Source organism: Homo sapiens, chromosome 12 (assembly GCF_000001405.40).
Source record: "Homo sapiens chromosome 12, GRCh38.p14 Primary Assembly".
Taxonomy (NCBI): Eukaryota; Metazoa; Chordata; class Mammalia; order Primates; family Hominidae; genus Homo; species Homo sapiens.
The window spans coordinates 132,467,523-132,482,892 of record NC_000012.12 but is presented as its reverse complement, the minus strand read 5'-3'; the positions used below and the strand labels follow the sequence as shown (position 1 = coordinate 132,482,892).

At 59.9% G+C, this 15,370-nt stretch overlaps 1 protein-coding gene across 1 annotated transcript, besides 4 other annotated features; it reads left to right on the top strand.

Annotated features, from left to right (window-relative positions):
- Window positions 876–1,005: an enhancer, noted in NCBI's record as "active region_7379". NCBI's record gives its function as "activates an Ori minimal core promoter by ATAC-STARR-seq in GM12878 lymphoblastoid cells {active_cell/tissue: GM12878}" and the evidence as "EXISTENCE:reporter gene assay evidence [ECO:0000049][PMID:35858748]".
- Window positions 2,225–2,724: an enhancer, noted in NCBI's record as "H3K4me1 hESC enhancer chr12:133056755-133057254 (GRCh37/hg19 assembly coordinates)". NCBI's record gives its function as "activates a minimal SCP1, AML or CMV promoter by ChIP-STARR-seq in primed H9 embryonic stem cells {active_cell/tissue: H9 hESC(primed)}" and the evidence as "EXISTENCE:reporter gene assay evidence [ECO:0000049][PMID:30033119]".
- Window positions 2,725–3,226: an enhancer, noted in NCBI's record as "H3K4me1 hESC enhancer chr12:133056253-133056754 (GRCh37/hg19 assembly coordinates)". NCBI's record gives its function as "activates a minimal SCP1, AML or CMV promoter by ChIP-STARR-seq in primed H9 embryonic stem cells {active_cell/tissue: H9 hESC(primed)}" and the evidence as "EXISTENCE:reporter gene assay evidence [ECO:0000049][PMID:30033119]".
- MUC8 (mucin 8) lies at window positions 8,306–11,497 on the top strand. Its single transcript, XM_047429967.1, is given in 8 exon segments — window positions 8,306–8,953; window positions 9,390–9,482; window positions 9,484–9,645; window positions 9,647–9,685; window positions 9,687–9,725; window positions 9,727–9,765; window positions 9,767–10,009; window positions 10,011–11,497. Coding segments are annotated over 8 exon segments (1,167 nt in total). The 5' UTR covers window positions 8,306–8,536; the 3' UTR covers window positions 10,146–11,497.
- Window positions 13,525–13,574: an enhancer, noted in NCBI's record as "active region_7378". NCBI's record gives its function as "activates an Ori minimal core promoter by ATAC-STARR-seq in GM12878 lymphoblastoid cells {active_cell/tissue: GM12878}" and the evidence as "EXISTENCE:reporter gene assay evidence [ECO:0000049][PMID:35858748]".

Here is a 15,370-nt window from a genome sequence, read left to right as displayed (position 1 = left end):
GATGAAGAGAGAAGGACACACAAAGATGTCATCCGTTTTTCATCCTGCCCACTCGCCCCACTCCTGGCTTTGAATGCTGCCCTGTGAGCATATGCTCCCTAGAGCTGTGGCAGCCTTTTTGCACTCATGAGGCAGCGAGCTCCAGGAGGAAGAGCCAACGTGCTGACACAGTGGGGCAGAAAGACAGAGACAACAGAATGGGGAGCTGGCGGCCTGGACCAGCTACCTCCAGACATTTCATCCGGGAAGTAGCTGTCCGTACAGTTTGAGCTGCTCTTTGTTGGATGTTCTGTTACTTGCATCCTATGGATTTGGCCTCTGGCTGCAACGTGACAGCATCAGTTTGGGGAAACAAAAACATGTCTGTATTCAGGCAGAGAGGCATTTAACGTGGGGACAGGTACACAAATGTCGGAAGGGCTGTGCGGCCATCGCGGACACGAGGGGGCTGGGACACTCTCAGTGCCAACGGGACTGGACACGAGGGGGCTGGGATGCTCTCGTGCCAATGGGACCGGACATGAGGGGGCTGGGACACTCCCAGGGCCAATGGGACTGGCTGGGGAGCTCCTGGTGACCTGCAGAGCATGATTTTTGGCTGCCTCTGTGCAGGTGTTTCCAGAGGAGACTGCAGTGTGTGTCCGAGTGGCGGAGGTGAAGATGACCTGCCCTCAGTGTGGGTGGCACCTTCCAGCTGGGGTCTGGAGAGAACAGAAACAGAAAAGGGGAATGTGTCTCTCCCCACGGCAGCTGGGATGCACGCTTCCTCTCCTGCCCTCAGACAGAACTGCAGGCGCCCCAGCCTTTGGGCTCTAGGACTCGCACTGGCAGCCCCGGGTCTCACGCCTGTGGCCTCGGGCTGAGTCGCGCCATCAGCTTCCCGGGTTCTGATGCCTTCTGACGTGGACTGAGCCACACTACCGGCATCCGGTGTTGTCCAGCCTGCAGACAGCCTGTTGTGGGACTTCCCAGCCTCCATCATCTGGTTCCCCTAACAGACCCTGCTCACTTCTCTCTCTGTGTCATGTTGGCTCTGTCTCTCTGGAGACCCCTGACTAACACAGTTGTGCTGGAGGTGAAGGAAGTGAGGAGGCTGTGTTATGGGTTACCGTGTGTCCTCAGTATCACTCACTGGAGTCCCAACCCCCAGAACCCCAGAATGTAACACTATTTGGAAATTGGGTCTTTGCAGATGTAATTGCAAATGTTAAAATGAAGTTCCCAGATTTGGCTGGTCTCTACATCCAAACACTGGCCCCCTTGTGAAAAGACACACAGGCCTAGGGGAGACGGTGTGTGGGGACGGGAGCAGAGGCTGCAGCGACGCAACCACACAGGCGGGAAGGCCAACACCACCAGGAACAGGAAGAGACACGGGTCCTCCCCTGGAGCCTCCTGAGGCAGCGTGGCTCCAATAACACTGGTTCTGGACATCAGGTCTCTAAATCTCAAGGGAAGACATTTCTGTGCTTTAAGCTGTACTTTTTTTTTCTTTTTGACGGCGTCTTACTCTGTTGCTCAGGCTGGAGTGCAGTGTCGCGATCTCAGCTCACCACCATCTCTGCCTCCTGGGTTCAAGCGATTCTCCTGCCTCAGCCTCCCAAGTAGCTGGGTTTACAGGTGCTCACCACTATACCTGGTTAATTTTTGTATTTTTAGTAGAGACAGGGTTTCACCATGTTGGTCAGGCTGGTCTTGAACTCCTGATGTCAAGTGATCCACCCGCCTCGGCCTCTCAAATTGTTAGGATTACAGGCGTGAGCCACTGCACCCAGCCTTCCACTGCACTTTGCTATGGAGCCTGGGAAACGACCACAGGGTGCTCCCAAGAAGGGGAGCTTCTACCCCACACAGATGAGAGCCCAGCAGGACAGCCTCAGGGAGGCCCACAGTGCACAGGGGCCAGGGCTGCTGATGGGAGGGGGCCGCTGGGTCCCTAGGGGTGCAGCCTCACTGGTGTGGAGGCCGAACAGCTTCCCTTCCAGTTGGCAGGGCCACCTGGAAGCCCAGCTGCAGGGAAGCCTGGGGCACACAGGGTGTGGACGGCCGGCCCGCTCATGCACCGTGCCCCAGGGTTGGGGTGCTGCCAGGAGGAAATGACAGGGGCCTGGGGCCTCGTGGACAGTCTGGAAGTTTCTCTTTCCTGAATGCATAATCAGTCCTTCGAAGATCCCACAAACCCAAACTTAACCCACAGAAGCCGACCAGCGTGTCGGATGCAGCAGCTCCGGTGGGAACGGGCCCTGAAGCCAGTGTCTTTCCTGGAGGACACAGGGGACAGTCCCGGCTGAGAGCCGGGAGTTTCATTAGAAACCCTGGAGGAGAGCAGCTGCCCCAGAGCCCCATCTGCGATAGAACATTAGAAACAGTCCCCGTGGCCTTTGTTACGGAAAAGGCTCGCTGCGGCGGCATCCTTGAGCGCAAACGCTGCTGCGGCTAAGGCACGAGGTTGCTCTGGAGGTGACGTCGCGGAGGGAAGAGGCCATACGGCAGGAGGGGTGCAGCCGCTCGTGTGAGCGGGAGGAGCCCCGTGGGACGGTGCTATGCCTTTCCCGAGGGTCCCTGGGAGTGTCCGAAAGTGCGGAGAAAGGTCTGGAAGGTGGCCCCCTGCCGCCACACTCGGAACCTTATTTTTTCAGCAAGTGTGAGCTTTGGAGCGCACCAAGATACGGGCGTGTGTTCTGGGGTGCGTGAGGTGGTGGTGCCGCGGCAGCCCAGGCATCCCTGTGGCTCTCCCAGAGGCTCTGTGAGGCCGCCCGTGACCCTGGAGGGGTGGGCTGTGAGGGCCACCTGCGACCCTGGGGGGGCTGCATCTGCAGAGCTCAATCCTCTGGCAAGGTCAGGGGTGAGGCGAGGGGCCAAGCTGAGCTCCCCACCTCCCTATTCCCCCCATGCACTTCCCAGCGTCATGGTGTGCAGCCCACACATCCTCCCAGGACGGCCCTTGGAGCCCTTTCCTCCCCATTTCTCCAGTCTGAGTTTGGGGCGAGAGTGCCGACATCTGACTTGTAGTTAGGAGGGTTCCTGCACAGCACTGTAGACCGTGGGCCAGGGGCCAAGAGTAGAAGTGCTGAGGGGCCAAGGAGGCTGCTACAGGGCCCAGGGAGAGGCAGGGGTGGCCTGTACCTGACCAGCATGGGGGCTCACTTGGAGGGCAGTAGGGGAGTGTTTCCAACAGGACTTGTTCCTGGCTGTTTGGGAAGTGAGGCAGAGCTGAGAGCCACAGCCGGAGGTGCAGGCCTGAACCCTCACCAGCCTGTTCAGGGCATTGAGGGAGGATGCTGAGGCCGTGGGGACCAGCCTTGGGCTCCGGGAGCTCCATGCCCGGTCCCAGGAGCCTGGGATGTAGCACCTTCCGTGGTGAGGAGACTTGGTGGATATGGTTGAGCTGAAGATCTTGAGATGGTGACGGAGCCCTGCATGGTCCAGGCGGCCCTGGATGTGTTCACAAGCGTCCTTGTGGGAGGCTCGGCACCCTCCGGACGCTGGAAGATTCAAGGGTGGGACCCTCCCACAGCCTGCAGAGGAACCCGGCCTGCCCACACCTCCACGTCAGCCCCAGGAGCCCCTCTGGGACTTCAGGCTATGAGAAGGTAAGTGTGTGGTTTTAAACAGCCCAGTGTGTGGTGGTTCATTACGGCAGCTGCAGGAAGGGAGATGGTGTTCCAGCGACAGGCGGCTGCAATCCCTGCATCAGGAGCGTAAGTGAGAAGAGCAGCCCGCCGTGCAGGCGACACAAGGAAGGGTCCACTCCGGCCTCCTGCGGCCCACTCTGGCCCACTCCAGCCTCCTGTGGTCCACTCCGGCCTCCTGCGGCCCACTCTTGCCCCCTGCGGCTCACTCCTGCCTCCTACAGTCCACTCTGGCCCACTCCAGCCTCCTGTGGCCTCGTCAGTTTGGAGGTCTGAATTTCATTCCTAAGGCAGGTCTGGGAGGTTGTGAGTCATACAACGCAGGTTCCCTTCTGAGAGCATTGCTCCTGCCGGGCTGGATGGTGCCCCGTGGCCTGCACAGATAGACGGGCATCCTCAGAAGCACATGCCAACTCCCAGTGCGGCCTGAGTCCTGGGACACCCCCCCCCCCACCAACTCTGGGCACTCTCTCCACCCCTGCCCACCCTGCATCCCCGCCTCAGAGCGGCTTCTGCCTCGGGGCCTCTGCCTGTGTTCTCTCCTTGCTGGCAGCTTCCACTCATGCCTTCTCGGAGGGGCATGGCAGGGCTCCTCAGGGTGGCATCAGGTCACCTTGCCCCACGCTGGTGCCCACAAGACCGATGGTGGCTCTCACTGGTGTAGTGCTGCCTGCACTACACCGTGAGCCCCGGGGACACTGTCCCTTCACTGCTGACCCCCGCGGCTGGAACATCACCTGGTGCACAGGGAGCTGCTCACATGAGTGGCGTGAAGAAAACGGTTCCCAGCAGAGAACCTGGTGTGTGGGATACCGCGAGGGGGGCGGCCTGGTGCGTGGGATACCTCGAGGGGGGCGGCCTGGTGCGTGGGATACCTCGAGGGGGGCGGCCTGGTGCGTGGGATACCTCGAGGGGGGTGGCCTCTGGACGGTGCTCATGAGGCCCAGATCAAGGTGTGGGCCAGGAGGTTCCTCCTGGAGGCTCCTGGGGAGAATGTTTCCTGGGAGGATAGAAACCAGGCCCCTGTGGGCATCGTGCGGGAAGGGTGAGCTGGTCTGAGAGTGGAGCTGACTCCAAGAGTGAAGGTGAGAGGGAGACAGAAGCAAGGCCCCCATGACGTCCTTTGAGCCCCTGGATCCAGCTAGACCTGAAGCCACCCACTCCAGGACGTCCTGGTTATGTGAGTCACTAATTTCTCCCTTGGCTTCAACCACTTTTGTTGCCTTTTCTGTCACAATTCAGAATGCCCTGACTTGTGTGGGGTTGTGCAGTCAGGAAAGAGGAAAAGGTGTATCCAGAAGGGGAATCCCCAGGGCCAGAGCTCAAGAATCAGCCCCCGGCTGAGCACCACATGTAGTGGATGGAGCCCAGGGCCCCCGAGGTGCACGGCCCAGGCAGATCCTCAGGCTGTGGGGCAGGAGAGTGCTGGGGGTGGCGGCCTCTCTCACCCCCACCTCGGCCTCTCTCACCCCTACCTCAGGGTCTGGCCAGCTGTGGTGCTTCACAGAAGGGATGGAAGTGATTGTGAACCTATCACGAGCCCAACTCCAGACACTGATCCCAGGAGGATGCGCCCAGGCTAGTCCACTGGCCCCAAAAGGACACACCCAGGCTAGCCCACTGATCCCAAGAGGACACACCCAGGCTAGCCCACTGATCCCAAGAGGACACACCCAGGCTAGCCCACTGATCCTGGGAGGAGCCCAGGCTAGCCCACTGAGGAGGCAGGGGAGAGAGATGCAGGTGGGGTGAGAGGACAGTTGGGGATGCATCTTGGTGATCATGATTGGGGAGGACCTCCTAGTGCCTCAGCTGTGGTGGGGGAGGGGTGGGGGATGGGAGGGCACTTTGAGGCTCCCAACCTGGGAGGAGCCACCACAATCAGCCCAAACGTCACTGCTCCACCAGGCTGTGTGACAGCTGCAGTGTGGTCAGGCTGCAAATTGGCCCTTGGTTCTGCAGGGACTTGGAGAACCTCTGCGGCGTGCAGGGGGTGGACGCTGACCCGGGGCACAGGCCCCACCCAAGCAAACCGCAGCAGCTGCAGCAGGGCTGGGGAGGGAAGCTCAGGGGTAGGAGCCGATCTGATCTGTGCGTTCCAGGGCTTCCCCTGGAGGAGGCACTCGGGGTGAGGGGGCCCTGCAGAGAGGCCCAGAGCTGGGGAGGCCAGTGGAGCCGGGAGCCACCTGGAGGGAGGAGGAAGGTGCGGCCGGGTCAGCGTTGGGAGGGGTGTAGCTCAGCCTAGGGGCCGGTGGTAGGAGGGGTGCAGCCCAGCCTGGGGGCTGGTGGGGAAGCTGCATCCCATGAGGGGCCGGAAGCACTGAGGGCAGCTCAGGGCTGGGTTGTTTCCAACAGGCCAGGTGTCATGGGGTGAATGTGTCTGAGGAAGGAGAGGGCAGGCTGGGGAGAACTGGACAGTGATGGAAGCTGGGGGGACTCCAGCCGTCCTGGCCTCTGGGGGCTCCTGCCAGGGCGCAGGGTGCGGGGACAGCCTGGTCTGCATAGCTGCGAGTCTGAGGACCTCTTCAGGAAGACTTGTGGGGTCAGAGGCTGCACGGTCCGTGAGGGGGGCGGCAGCCGTGAGGTTCGGGATCACAGGACAAGGGCCGTGGGGTGTCCGGCATGGGCATTGGAGACCGCGATGGAGTCAGGTTCTGCTGGACATGGACCAGAAGTCCCCAGTTCAGTTCTGAGCACGTGGGTGAGGGGACTCCTGGGGGGCCGCCAGGGGCTCCGAGGAGATGTGGGCTCGGGAGCTGTGATGGCTGGGCTGTGTCCCCCACAAATCCACATGCTGAAGTCCCACCCCCACGACCTCAGGATGTGACTGCATAAAGGGGTCTTTAATGAGGGTGTCAAGGTAAAGCGAGGTTGTTGGGGTGGACCCTGATCCAGTCCCATGGGTGACACAATACGAAGAGGCGATCAGGGAGGAAAAGGCCCCGGAGAGCGGCTTTGAGAGTGACGACCGCCCGTGATGACCGGCCTGTGATAACTGGCTGGTGATAACTGGCTCGTGATGACCGGCCCATGATGACTGGCCCGTGATAACTGGCTCGTGATGACCACCCGTGATGACCGCCCGTGATGACCGGCCCGTGATAACTGGCTGGTGATAACTGGCTCGTGATGACCACCCGTGATGACCGCCCGTGATGACCGGCCGTGATAACTGGCTGGTGATAACTGGCTCGTGATGACCAGCCCGTGAAGGACAAGGAAGAGGTAAGGATGCAGACAGGCACAGGGGGCCACCAGGTGAACGCACAGAGGAGACACCGACTGCCGGCCAAGGAGGGAGGCACAGGATGAACCTGCCCTGCCGGCCCCAGGGTGGAGACTTCCAGCCTCCGGGGTGGGCGACGGGTGCCCCAGCCTCCGGGGTGGGCGACGGGTGCGTGTGGTTTGAGCCGCTGGCCTGTGTCGTTTGTTGTGGTGGCCTGAAGAGACCTGCACGGTAGCTGAGTGTGGTGGACACGCCAAAGCCGCAGGCAGGAGACCTGCAGTGAGGCTGGCAGGACCATGTGGCGGCAATGGCCACCCCAAGCCTCAGGGGCTTCCTGCAGGGATGGCTGCTCAGATGCCGGGGCCTGCAGTGCTGATGAGGGTGTGCCTGGGCCACATCGCCATGGAGGACGGGAGGGGCCTGTTCGTTTCTAGAGGGACACGCCGGCCACCCGGATGCAGATACCACGTCCTCACGGATGCGCACACGTTGCTTAGACACCATCACGTGAGCCTTTTGAGCTTTGAAGGTTGAGAACATATTCCTAAGAACACACATCAGCGCCATTTAGAGCTTCTAAGGGGTTACCGCGGAGGAAGGGGCGGGGTCACCGCGGAGGAGGGGGGCGGGGTCACCGCGGAGGGAGGGGGCGGGGTCACCGCGGAGGGAGGGGGAGGGGCACCGCGGAGGGAGGGGGAGGGTTCACCGCGGGGGGGGGAGGGTTCACCGCGGAGGGAGGGGGAGGGTTCACCGGGGAGAGAGGGGGCGGGGGGGTCACCGCGGAGGAAGGGGGCGGGGTCACCGCGGAGGAAGGGGTGGGGTCACCGCGGAGGAGGGGGCGGGGTCACCGCGGAGGAAGGGGCGGGGTCACCGCGGAGGGGGGGCGGGGTCACCGCGGAGGAAGGGGTGGGGTCACCGCGGAGGAGGGGGCGGGGTCACCGCGGAGGAAGGGGTGGGGTCACCGCGGAGGGGGGGCGGGTCACCGCGGAGGAAGGGGCGGGGTCACCGCGGAGGAGGGGGGCGGGGTCACCGCGGAGGAAGGGGCGGGGTCACCGCGGAGGGAGGGGGAGGGGCACCGCGGGGGGTGCGGGGTCACCGCGGAGGAAGGGGCGGGGTCACCGCGGAGGAGGGGGCGGGGTCACCGCGGAGGAAGGGGTGGGGTCACCGCGGAGGAGGGGGCGGGGGTCACCGCGGAGGAGGGGGCGGGGTCACCGCGGAGGAAGGGGTGGGGTCACCGCGGAGGAGGGGGCGGGGGTCACCGCGGAGGAGGGGGCGGGGTCACCGCGGAGGAAGGGGCGGGGTCACCGCGGAGGAAGGGGCGGGGTCACCGCGGAGGAGGGGGCGGGGTCACCGCGGAGGAGGGGGCGGGGTCACCGCGGAGGGAGGGGAAGGGCACCGCGGAGGGAGGGGAAGGGCAGTCTTGTTTTGAAAATTCCAGTGCAAAGACAGTGTTGTTTCCGGAGGCGCCTAAGTGATCCCGCAGCGACTCTGAGGAGGACCCTGAGGGTCGGGCATTCTTGCCCTGACCGGCCTCTGCTGGACGCCCACCGGGGAATCAGGGAGATACACGGGGCCCCGGCTTCCAGGAGCGCAGCCAGGCCACAGCCCTGAGGACGGGCAAACCCACCCAGGCGCGGTGAGAGGGAGGCCGCCCAGGCCTGGGGCCTGGCGGCAGGGGATGAAGTGGACCAGAGCCCCGCAAATCCTAACGTGGGTGAGCAGTGAGCCTGTGTGGCTGCGAGTGGCTCCGTTTTGGGGCTGTTTGTTCCTGCAGCAAATGATGCCAGCCCTGACGGAACCAGTGCACGTCCACCACGAGCTGCCCACGTCCTCTCCAGGAAGGGACCCGGGTCCACGAGCTGCCCACGTCCTCTCCAGGAAGGGACCCGGGTCCACGAGCTGCCCACGTCCTCTCCAGGAGGGGACACCGGGTTCACGAGCTGCCCACGCCCTCTCCAGGAGGGGACACCGGGTTCACGAGCTGCCCACGTCCTCTCCAGGAGGGGACACCGGGTTCATGAGCTGCCCACGCCCTTTCCAGGAAGGGACCCCGGGTTCACGAGCTGCCCACGTCCTCTCCAGGAGGGGACACCGGGTTCACGAGCTGCCCACGTCCTCTCCAGGAAGGGACCCAGGTCCACGAACTGCCCACGCCCTCTCCAGGAGGGGACCCGGGTCCACGAGCTGCCCACGTCGTCTCCAGGAAGGGACCCGGGTCCACGAGCTGCCCACGTCCTCTCCAGGAAGGGACCCGGGTCCACGAGCTGCCCACGTCCTCTCCAGGAAGGGACCCCGGGTTCACGAGCTGCCCACGTCCTCTCCAGGAAGGGACCCCGGGTTCACGAGCTGCCCACGTCCTCTCCAGGAGGGGACCCCGGGTTCACGAGCTGCCCACGTCCTCTCCAGGAAGGGACCCCGGGTTCACGAGCTGCCCACGTCGTCTCCAGGAAGGGACCCGGGTCCACGAGCTGCCCACGTCCTCTCCAGGAAGGGACCCGGGTCCACGAGCTGCCCACGTCCTCTCCAGGAAGGGACCCCGGGTTCACGAGCTGCCCACGTCCTCTCCAGGAAGGGACCCCGGGTCCACGAGCTGCCCACGTCCTCTCCAGGAAGGGACCCGGGTCCACGAACTGCCCACGTCCTCTCCAGGAAGGGACCCCGGGTTCACGAGCTGCCCACGTCCTCTCCAGGAGGGGACACCGGGTTCACGAGCTGCCCACGCCCTCTCCAGGAAGGGACCCCGGGTTCATGAGCTGCCCACGTCCTCTCCAGGAAGGGACCCGGGTCCACGAACTGCCCACGCCCTCTCCAGGAGGGGACCCGGGTCCACGAGCTGCCCACGTCGTCTCCAGGAAGGGACCCGGGTCCACGAGCTGCCCACGTCCTCTCCAGGAAGGGACCCGGGTCCACGAACTGCCCACGCGCTCTCCAGGAGGGGACACCGGGTTCACGAGCTGCCCACGCCCTCTCCAGGAAGGGACCCCGGGTTCACGAGCTGCCCACGTCCTCTCCAGGAGGGGACACCGGGTTCACGAGCTGCCCACGTCCTCTCCAGGAGGGGACACCGGGTTCACGAGCTGCCCACGCCCTCTCCAGGAGGGGACACCGGGTTCACGAGCTGCCCACGTCCTCTCCAGGAAGGGACCCGGGTCCACGAGCTGCCCACGTCCTCTCCAGGAGGGGACACCGGGTTCACGAGCTGCCCACGCACTTTCCAGGAAGGGACCCCGGGTTCAGGTCTCCTGCCGGCCCACATCGTGCCTTTGTGTAAATCAGAAGAAAGATGAGGAACAGGCCCTCCTCTCTCTCCAGGCAGGCTTTGGTGGAGGGGCTGGATCTCCTGCCGCACCTTCCCTGGCAGGGCACCCTGTGCTTGAGCCCCAGAACTGCAGGCGGCCGGCAGAGAAGGGGTCCATGATGGCGCCTCGGTGCGCAGCCTTGGACCTGCCCCCATGGACCTGGGTGAGGACTTCCCAGCCCTTCCCCGGCTCCAGCTGCTCTCCCTAAGGGCCGCCTCACCCCTTCCTCGGGCAGGGGGCAGTGGACGAGGGTTCCGTCCCTCCAGGGGATGCTCCCAAACCCCTGCCAGGACTTGGCAGATCCGGCCTCTCATCTTGGCAGCTAGATGGTGGGACGGGATCATCGTGGTGGCTTTAATTTGCATTTCTCTGATGACTGATGATTTCGAGCATCTCTTCATATGTTTGCTGGCTTTGGGGATAGAGATATTTCTTCCTAAAGCAAAACTTGATTATGTCATTTCTGCTTCAAGATGCCAGTGATGCCTGAGGTCTGCAGGGCAGTGCAGACGCTCACCGCCTGGCCGCTCAGGAGCCTGTGCTTGACCCCCAAATCCGCCCCCCAACTCCCTGTTACCGGCTCACTCCTTCCATGAGGGGCCTTCCCCAGGGACAGCCGATGCTCTCCTGATGGCTCCTGCCCTTGCAGAGTGCTGCCCCCGCCTGCCCACCTGGCCTGGACCCTCGCCTGAGCCCCCTCAGGGCTCTGCGCCACCTCAACCCAGGCGTTTGTTCCGCAGGAACCTCCCGGCTCTTCCCACTCGGGAAAGGAAGGCTCTGGGCATGGAGGTCGGCCAGGCCCCATCCCCGTACCCTGGCCCTTCTTCCTGCTTCCTGTTTGTCACTGCCCCGGGGCCTTTGCACCTGCATTCCCTCTCTCTGTGAGTGTCCTGGGGCCCGTTACCCACGTCACCGTCCCAGGATACCTTTTCTTTTCTTTCTCTCTCTCCAGCTTTATTGAGGTATAGTTGACAATTCAGGACGGTGTGCACTCAAGGTATGCAGCATCACAACCTGACACACGTAGGCATTGTGAAATGAGTCCCACAATTGGGCTAATTAACACACCCATCACCTTACATGGTTACTTCTTTCTGTGGTGAGAACACTAAATTTTAAATAGAGGACACACAGCCTGGGCAACATAGTGAGACCCTGTCTCTACAAATATAAAAAAATTATCTGGACGTGGTGGTGCACACCTGTGGTCCCAGCTACTTGGGAAGCTGAGGCTGGAGAATCACTTGAGCCTGGGAGGCGGAGGTTGCGGTGCACTCCAGCCTGGGCGACAGAGGGAGGCCCTATCTCAAAATAAATAAATAAAGGACACATTCTTATCAGCTGTAGTCACCACGTTCATTACATCTTAGAACCCGCTAATCTCATAACTGCACCTTTGTTCCCTGTGACCCTCAACTCCCGGTCCCCTCCAGCCCTGACAGCCACTGTTCACTCTGCTTCTGTGAGTTCCGCTTTTTCACACGTCACTCGAGTGAGGCCATGTGCTGTTTGTCTTTCTGTGCCTGGCTTATCTCACTTACCACAAATGCCCTTCAGGTTCATCGTGTCCTCACAAATGGCGGGCTTGCCCTGCCCTGCCCTGCCCTGCCCTCCCTTCCCTTCCCTTCTCTCTCTCTCCTTTCTCTCTCTCTGTCTCTCTCTCTCTCCCCCCCTTCCCTTTTCCTCCTGTGGAATAACACTCCTGTATGTGTGTGTACGCATGTGTGTGTATACGCGTGTGTGTACGCATGTGTGTGTATACGTGTGTGTACGCATGTGTGTGTATACGTGTGTGTGTACGCATGTGTGTGTATTTCTTCCCTTCCCTCCCCTCCCCTTCCCTCCCCTCCCCTTCCCTCCCCTCCCCTTCCCTCCCCTCCCCTTCCCTCCCCTCCCCTTCTTTCCCCTCCCCTTCCCTTTCCCTCCCTGTGGAATAACACTCGTGTGTGTGTGTGTGTGTGTGTGTGTGTGTGTGTATGCATGTGTGTGTATTTCTCCCCTTCCCTTCCTTTCCCTCCCCTCCTCCCTCCCCTCCCTTCCCCTCCCCTTCCTTTTCCCTTCTGTGGAATAACGCTTGTGTGTGTGTGTGTGTATATATGCATGTGTGTATATTTCTCCCTTTCCCTTCCTTTCCCTCCCCTCCTCCCTTCCCTCCCCTCCTCCCTCCCTTCCCCTCCCCTTCCCTTTCCCTCCCTGTGGGATAACACTCGTGTGTGTGTGTGTGTGTGTGTGTATGCATGTGTGTGTATTTCTTCCCTCCCCTCCCCCCTCTCCTCCCCTCCCTTCCCCACCCTTCCCTTTCCCTCCTGTGGAATAACACTCCTGTGTGTGTGTGCATGCATGTGTGTGTATATTTCTCACATATTTTCATTCATGCATCCGTTGATGGACACTTGGGTTGATTCCGTGTCCTGGCTGCTGGGACAGTGCTGCGATGAACACGAGGGTACAGACGCCTCTCCTACACGCTAATTTCAACTCTTTGGATATACACCCAGCAGTGGGATTGCTGGATCAGGTGGGAGCTCTATTTCCACATTTTTGAGGAACCTCCCTGCCGTCTCCCATGGTGGCTGTGCCAACGACGTTCCCAGGGACAGAGTGCAACGGGCCCCTTTCCTCCATGTCCTCGCCAACACTCGCTATCTTTTGCGTTTTGATGACAGTCATCCCAATAGGTGCCAGTTGGTACCTCCTGTGGTTTTTATTTGATTTTCCTGATGATTAGTGATGCTGGACGTTATTTCGTCTACACTTCGGCCACTTACATGTTTTCCTTCGAGACACGCAGATTCAGGTCCTTTGCACGTTTTAAAATTTTTTTTGTTTGTTTTTGTTATTGAGTTGAATTCCTTCTACAATTTGCAAATTAACTCCTCATCATATACATGGATTGCAAATACCCCCGCCTCCCCCTGGGGTTTTGCCTTTTCACTGCAAATACTCCCGCCTCCCCATGGGGGTTGCCTTTTCCCTGCCAATACCCCCACCTCCCCATGGGGGTTGCCTTTTCCCTGCAAATACCCCCACCTCCCCGTGGGTTCTGCCTTTTCCCTGCCAATACCCCCGCCTCCCCCTGGGGGTTGCCTTTTCACTCTGTTGGTTTCCTTTGCGGAAGCTTTCTGGTTTGTTGCACTCTCACTGTCTATTTTTGCTTCTGTTGCCTGTGCTTGTGGGGCCATATTTTAAAAAAATCATTGCCCGGACCAGCCTCAAGAAGTTTTCCTCCTACGTTTTCTTCTAAGAGTTTTATGGTGTCGGGTCTTAGGTTTGAATCTTTAATCCGTGTTGAGTTGATTTTCGTAGGTGGTGTCGGATGAGGCCCTTTCATCCTCCTCCACTTTTCCCAGCACCACCTATTGAGGATGCCCCTTTCCCCGTCGTGTGTCCTTGGCGCCTTTGCTGAAGGTCAGTTGGCCGTAACTGTGCATGGGGACCCTTCCTGGCCCCCCTGGTGCCCTGTGCCCCATATGTCCCACCCCCTCCCTTACTTTTTCTCCATGGCATGAATCACCCCAGACCTACTATACATATTTTATCTTATTTATTTTTATTTATTTATTTATTTTTGAGATGGAGTCTCACTCTGTCACCCAGGCTGGAGTGCAGTGGCACGATCTCGGCTCACTGCAAGCTCCGCCTCCCAGGTTCACGCCATTCTCCTGCCTCAGCCTCCCAAGTAGCTGGGATTACGGGCGCCCGCCACCATGCCCGGCTAATTTTTTTGTATTTTTAGTGGAGACGGAGTTTCAACATGTTAGCCAGGATGGTCTCGATCTCCTGACCTCGTGATCCACCCGCCTCAGCCTCCCAAAGTGCTGGGATTATAGGCGTGAGCCATCGCGCCCGGCCTATTTTTTTTTTTTCAGACAGAGTTTCACTCTTGTCACCCAGGCTGGAGTGCAGTGGCATGATCTTGGCTCACTGCAACTTCCACCTCCCAGGTTCAAGCGATTCTCCTGCCTCAGCCTCCCGAGTAGCTGGGATTACAGTGTGCACCACCACACCTGGCTAAATTTTTGTATTTTTTTTTTTTTACTAGAGACAGGGTTTCAACATGCTGGTCAGGCTGGTCTCGAATTCCTGACCTCAAGTGATCCTCCCACCTCGGCCTCCCAAAGTGCTGGGATTACAGGCGTGAGCCGCCATGCCTGGCCATGGATATTGTAAATGTTCTTGTTTGTTGTATGTTTTCCTCACTGGGCTGTGCACTCCTGAGGGCGGGGCATCTGTCCCATTCTTCAGTGCTGGGTCCCCTGTGTCTGGGACAGTGTATACATACAGCAGGTGCATAATCAGTCTTGACTGGAAGGGTGAGGGAGTCAACGCACATGGCAGTCATTGGACTATGTGTCTGAGAAGCATAACTCACTTAATCTTGAAGTTCACTTATGGATTGAAGTGTGCGGTTCAGTGACTTTTAATATATTTACCGAGTTGTGTAACCATCACCACCATCTAATTTTAAATCATTTTCATCATCCCTAAAAGAAACTTCAGACCCACTAGCTGTCCCTCCCCCTATTCCTCCCACCCCAGCCCTGGTCCTGGCCGCAGGCTGCTCACCTGCATCTCTCTGTGGATCTGCCGGTTGTGGACATTTCACACACCTGCGTGCAGTCTTCTGTGCCTGCCTCTTTCACTCGCTGTGATGTTTAAGTTCACCCATGTTGTCATCTATATCGGTACTTACTTCCTTTTTTTTTTTGGAGATGAAGTCTTGCTCTTGTCACCCAGGCTGGAGTGCAGTGGCGTGATCTCGGCTCACAGCAACTTCTGCCTCTGGGGTTCAAGTGATTCTCCTGCCTTAGCCTCCCAAGTAGCTGGGACTACAGGTTTGCACCACCATGTCCTGCTAATTTTTTTTTTTTTGTATTTTTAATAGAGACAGGGTTTCTCCTCATTGGCCAGGCTGGTCTCGAACTCCTGACCTCAGACGATCCACCTGCCTCAGCCTCCCGAAGTGTTGGGATTACAGGCACGAGCCACTGTGCCCGGCCATCATTCCTTTTTACTGCTGACTAATAGTCTGCTGTGTGAATCCACCGCTAGAAACCCACTCATCAGTTGATGGTCATGTGGGTTGCTTCTGCTATTCGCTTATTATGAACAGTGCTGGAATAAACGTTCCTGTGCACTCTTGGGCATACGCCTAGGAGTGGAACTGCTGGGTCAAATGGTGACTTTACGTTTAACGTTCTGAGGAGCCGCCA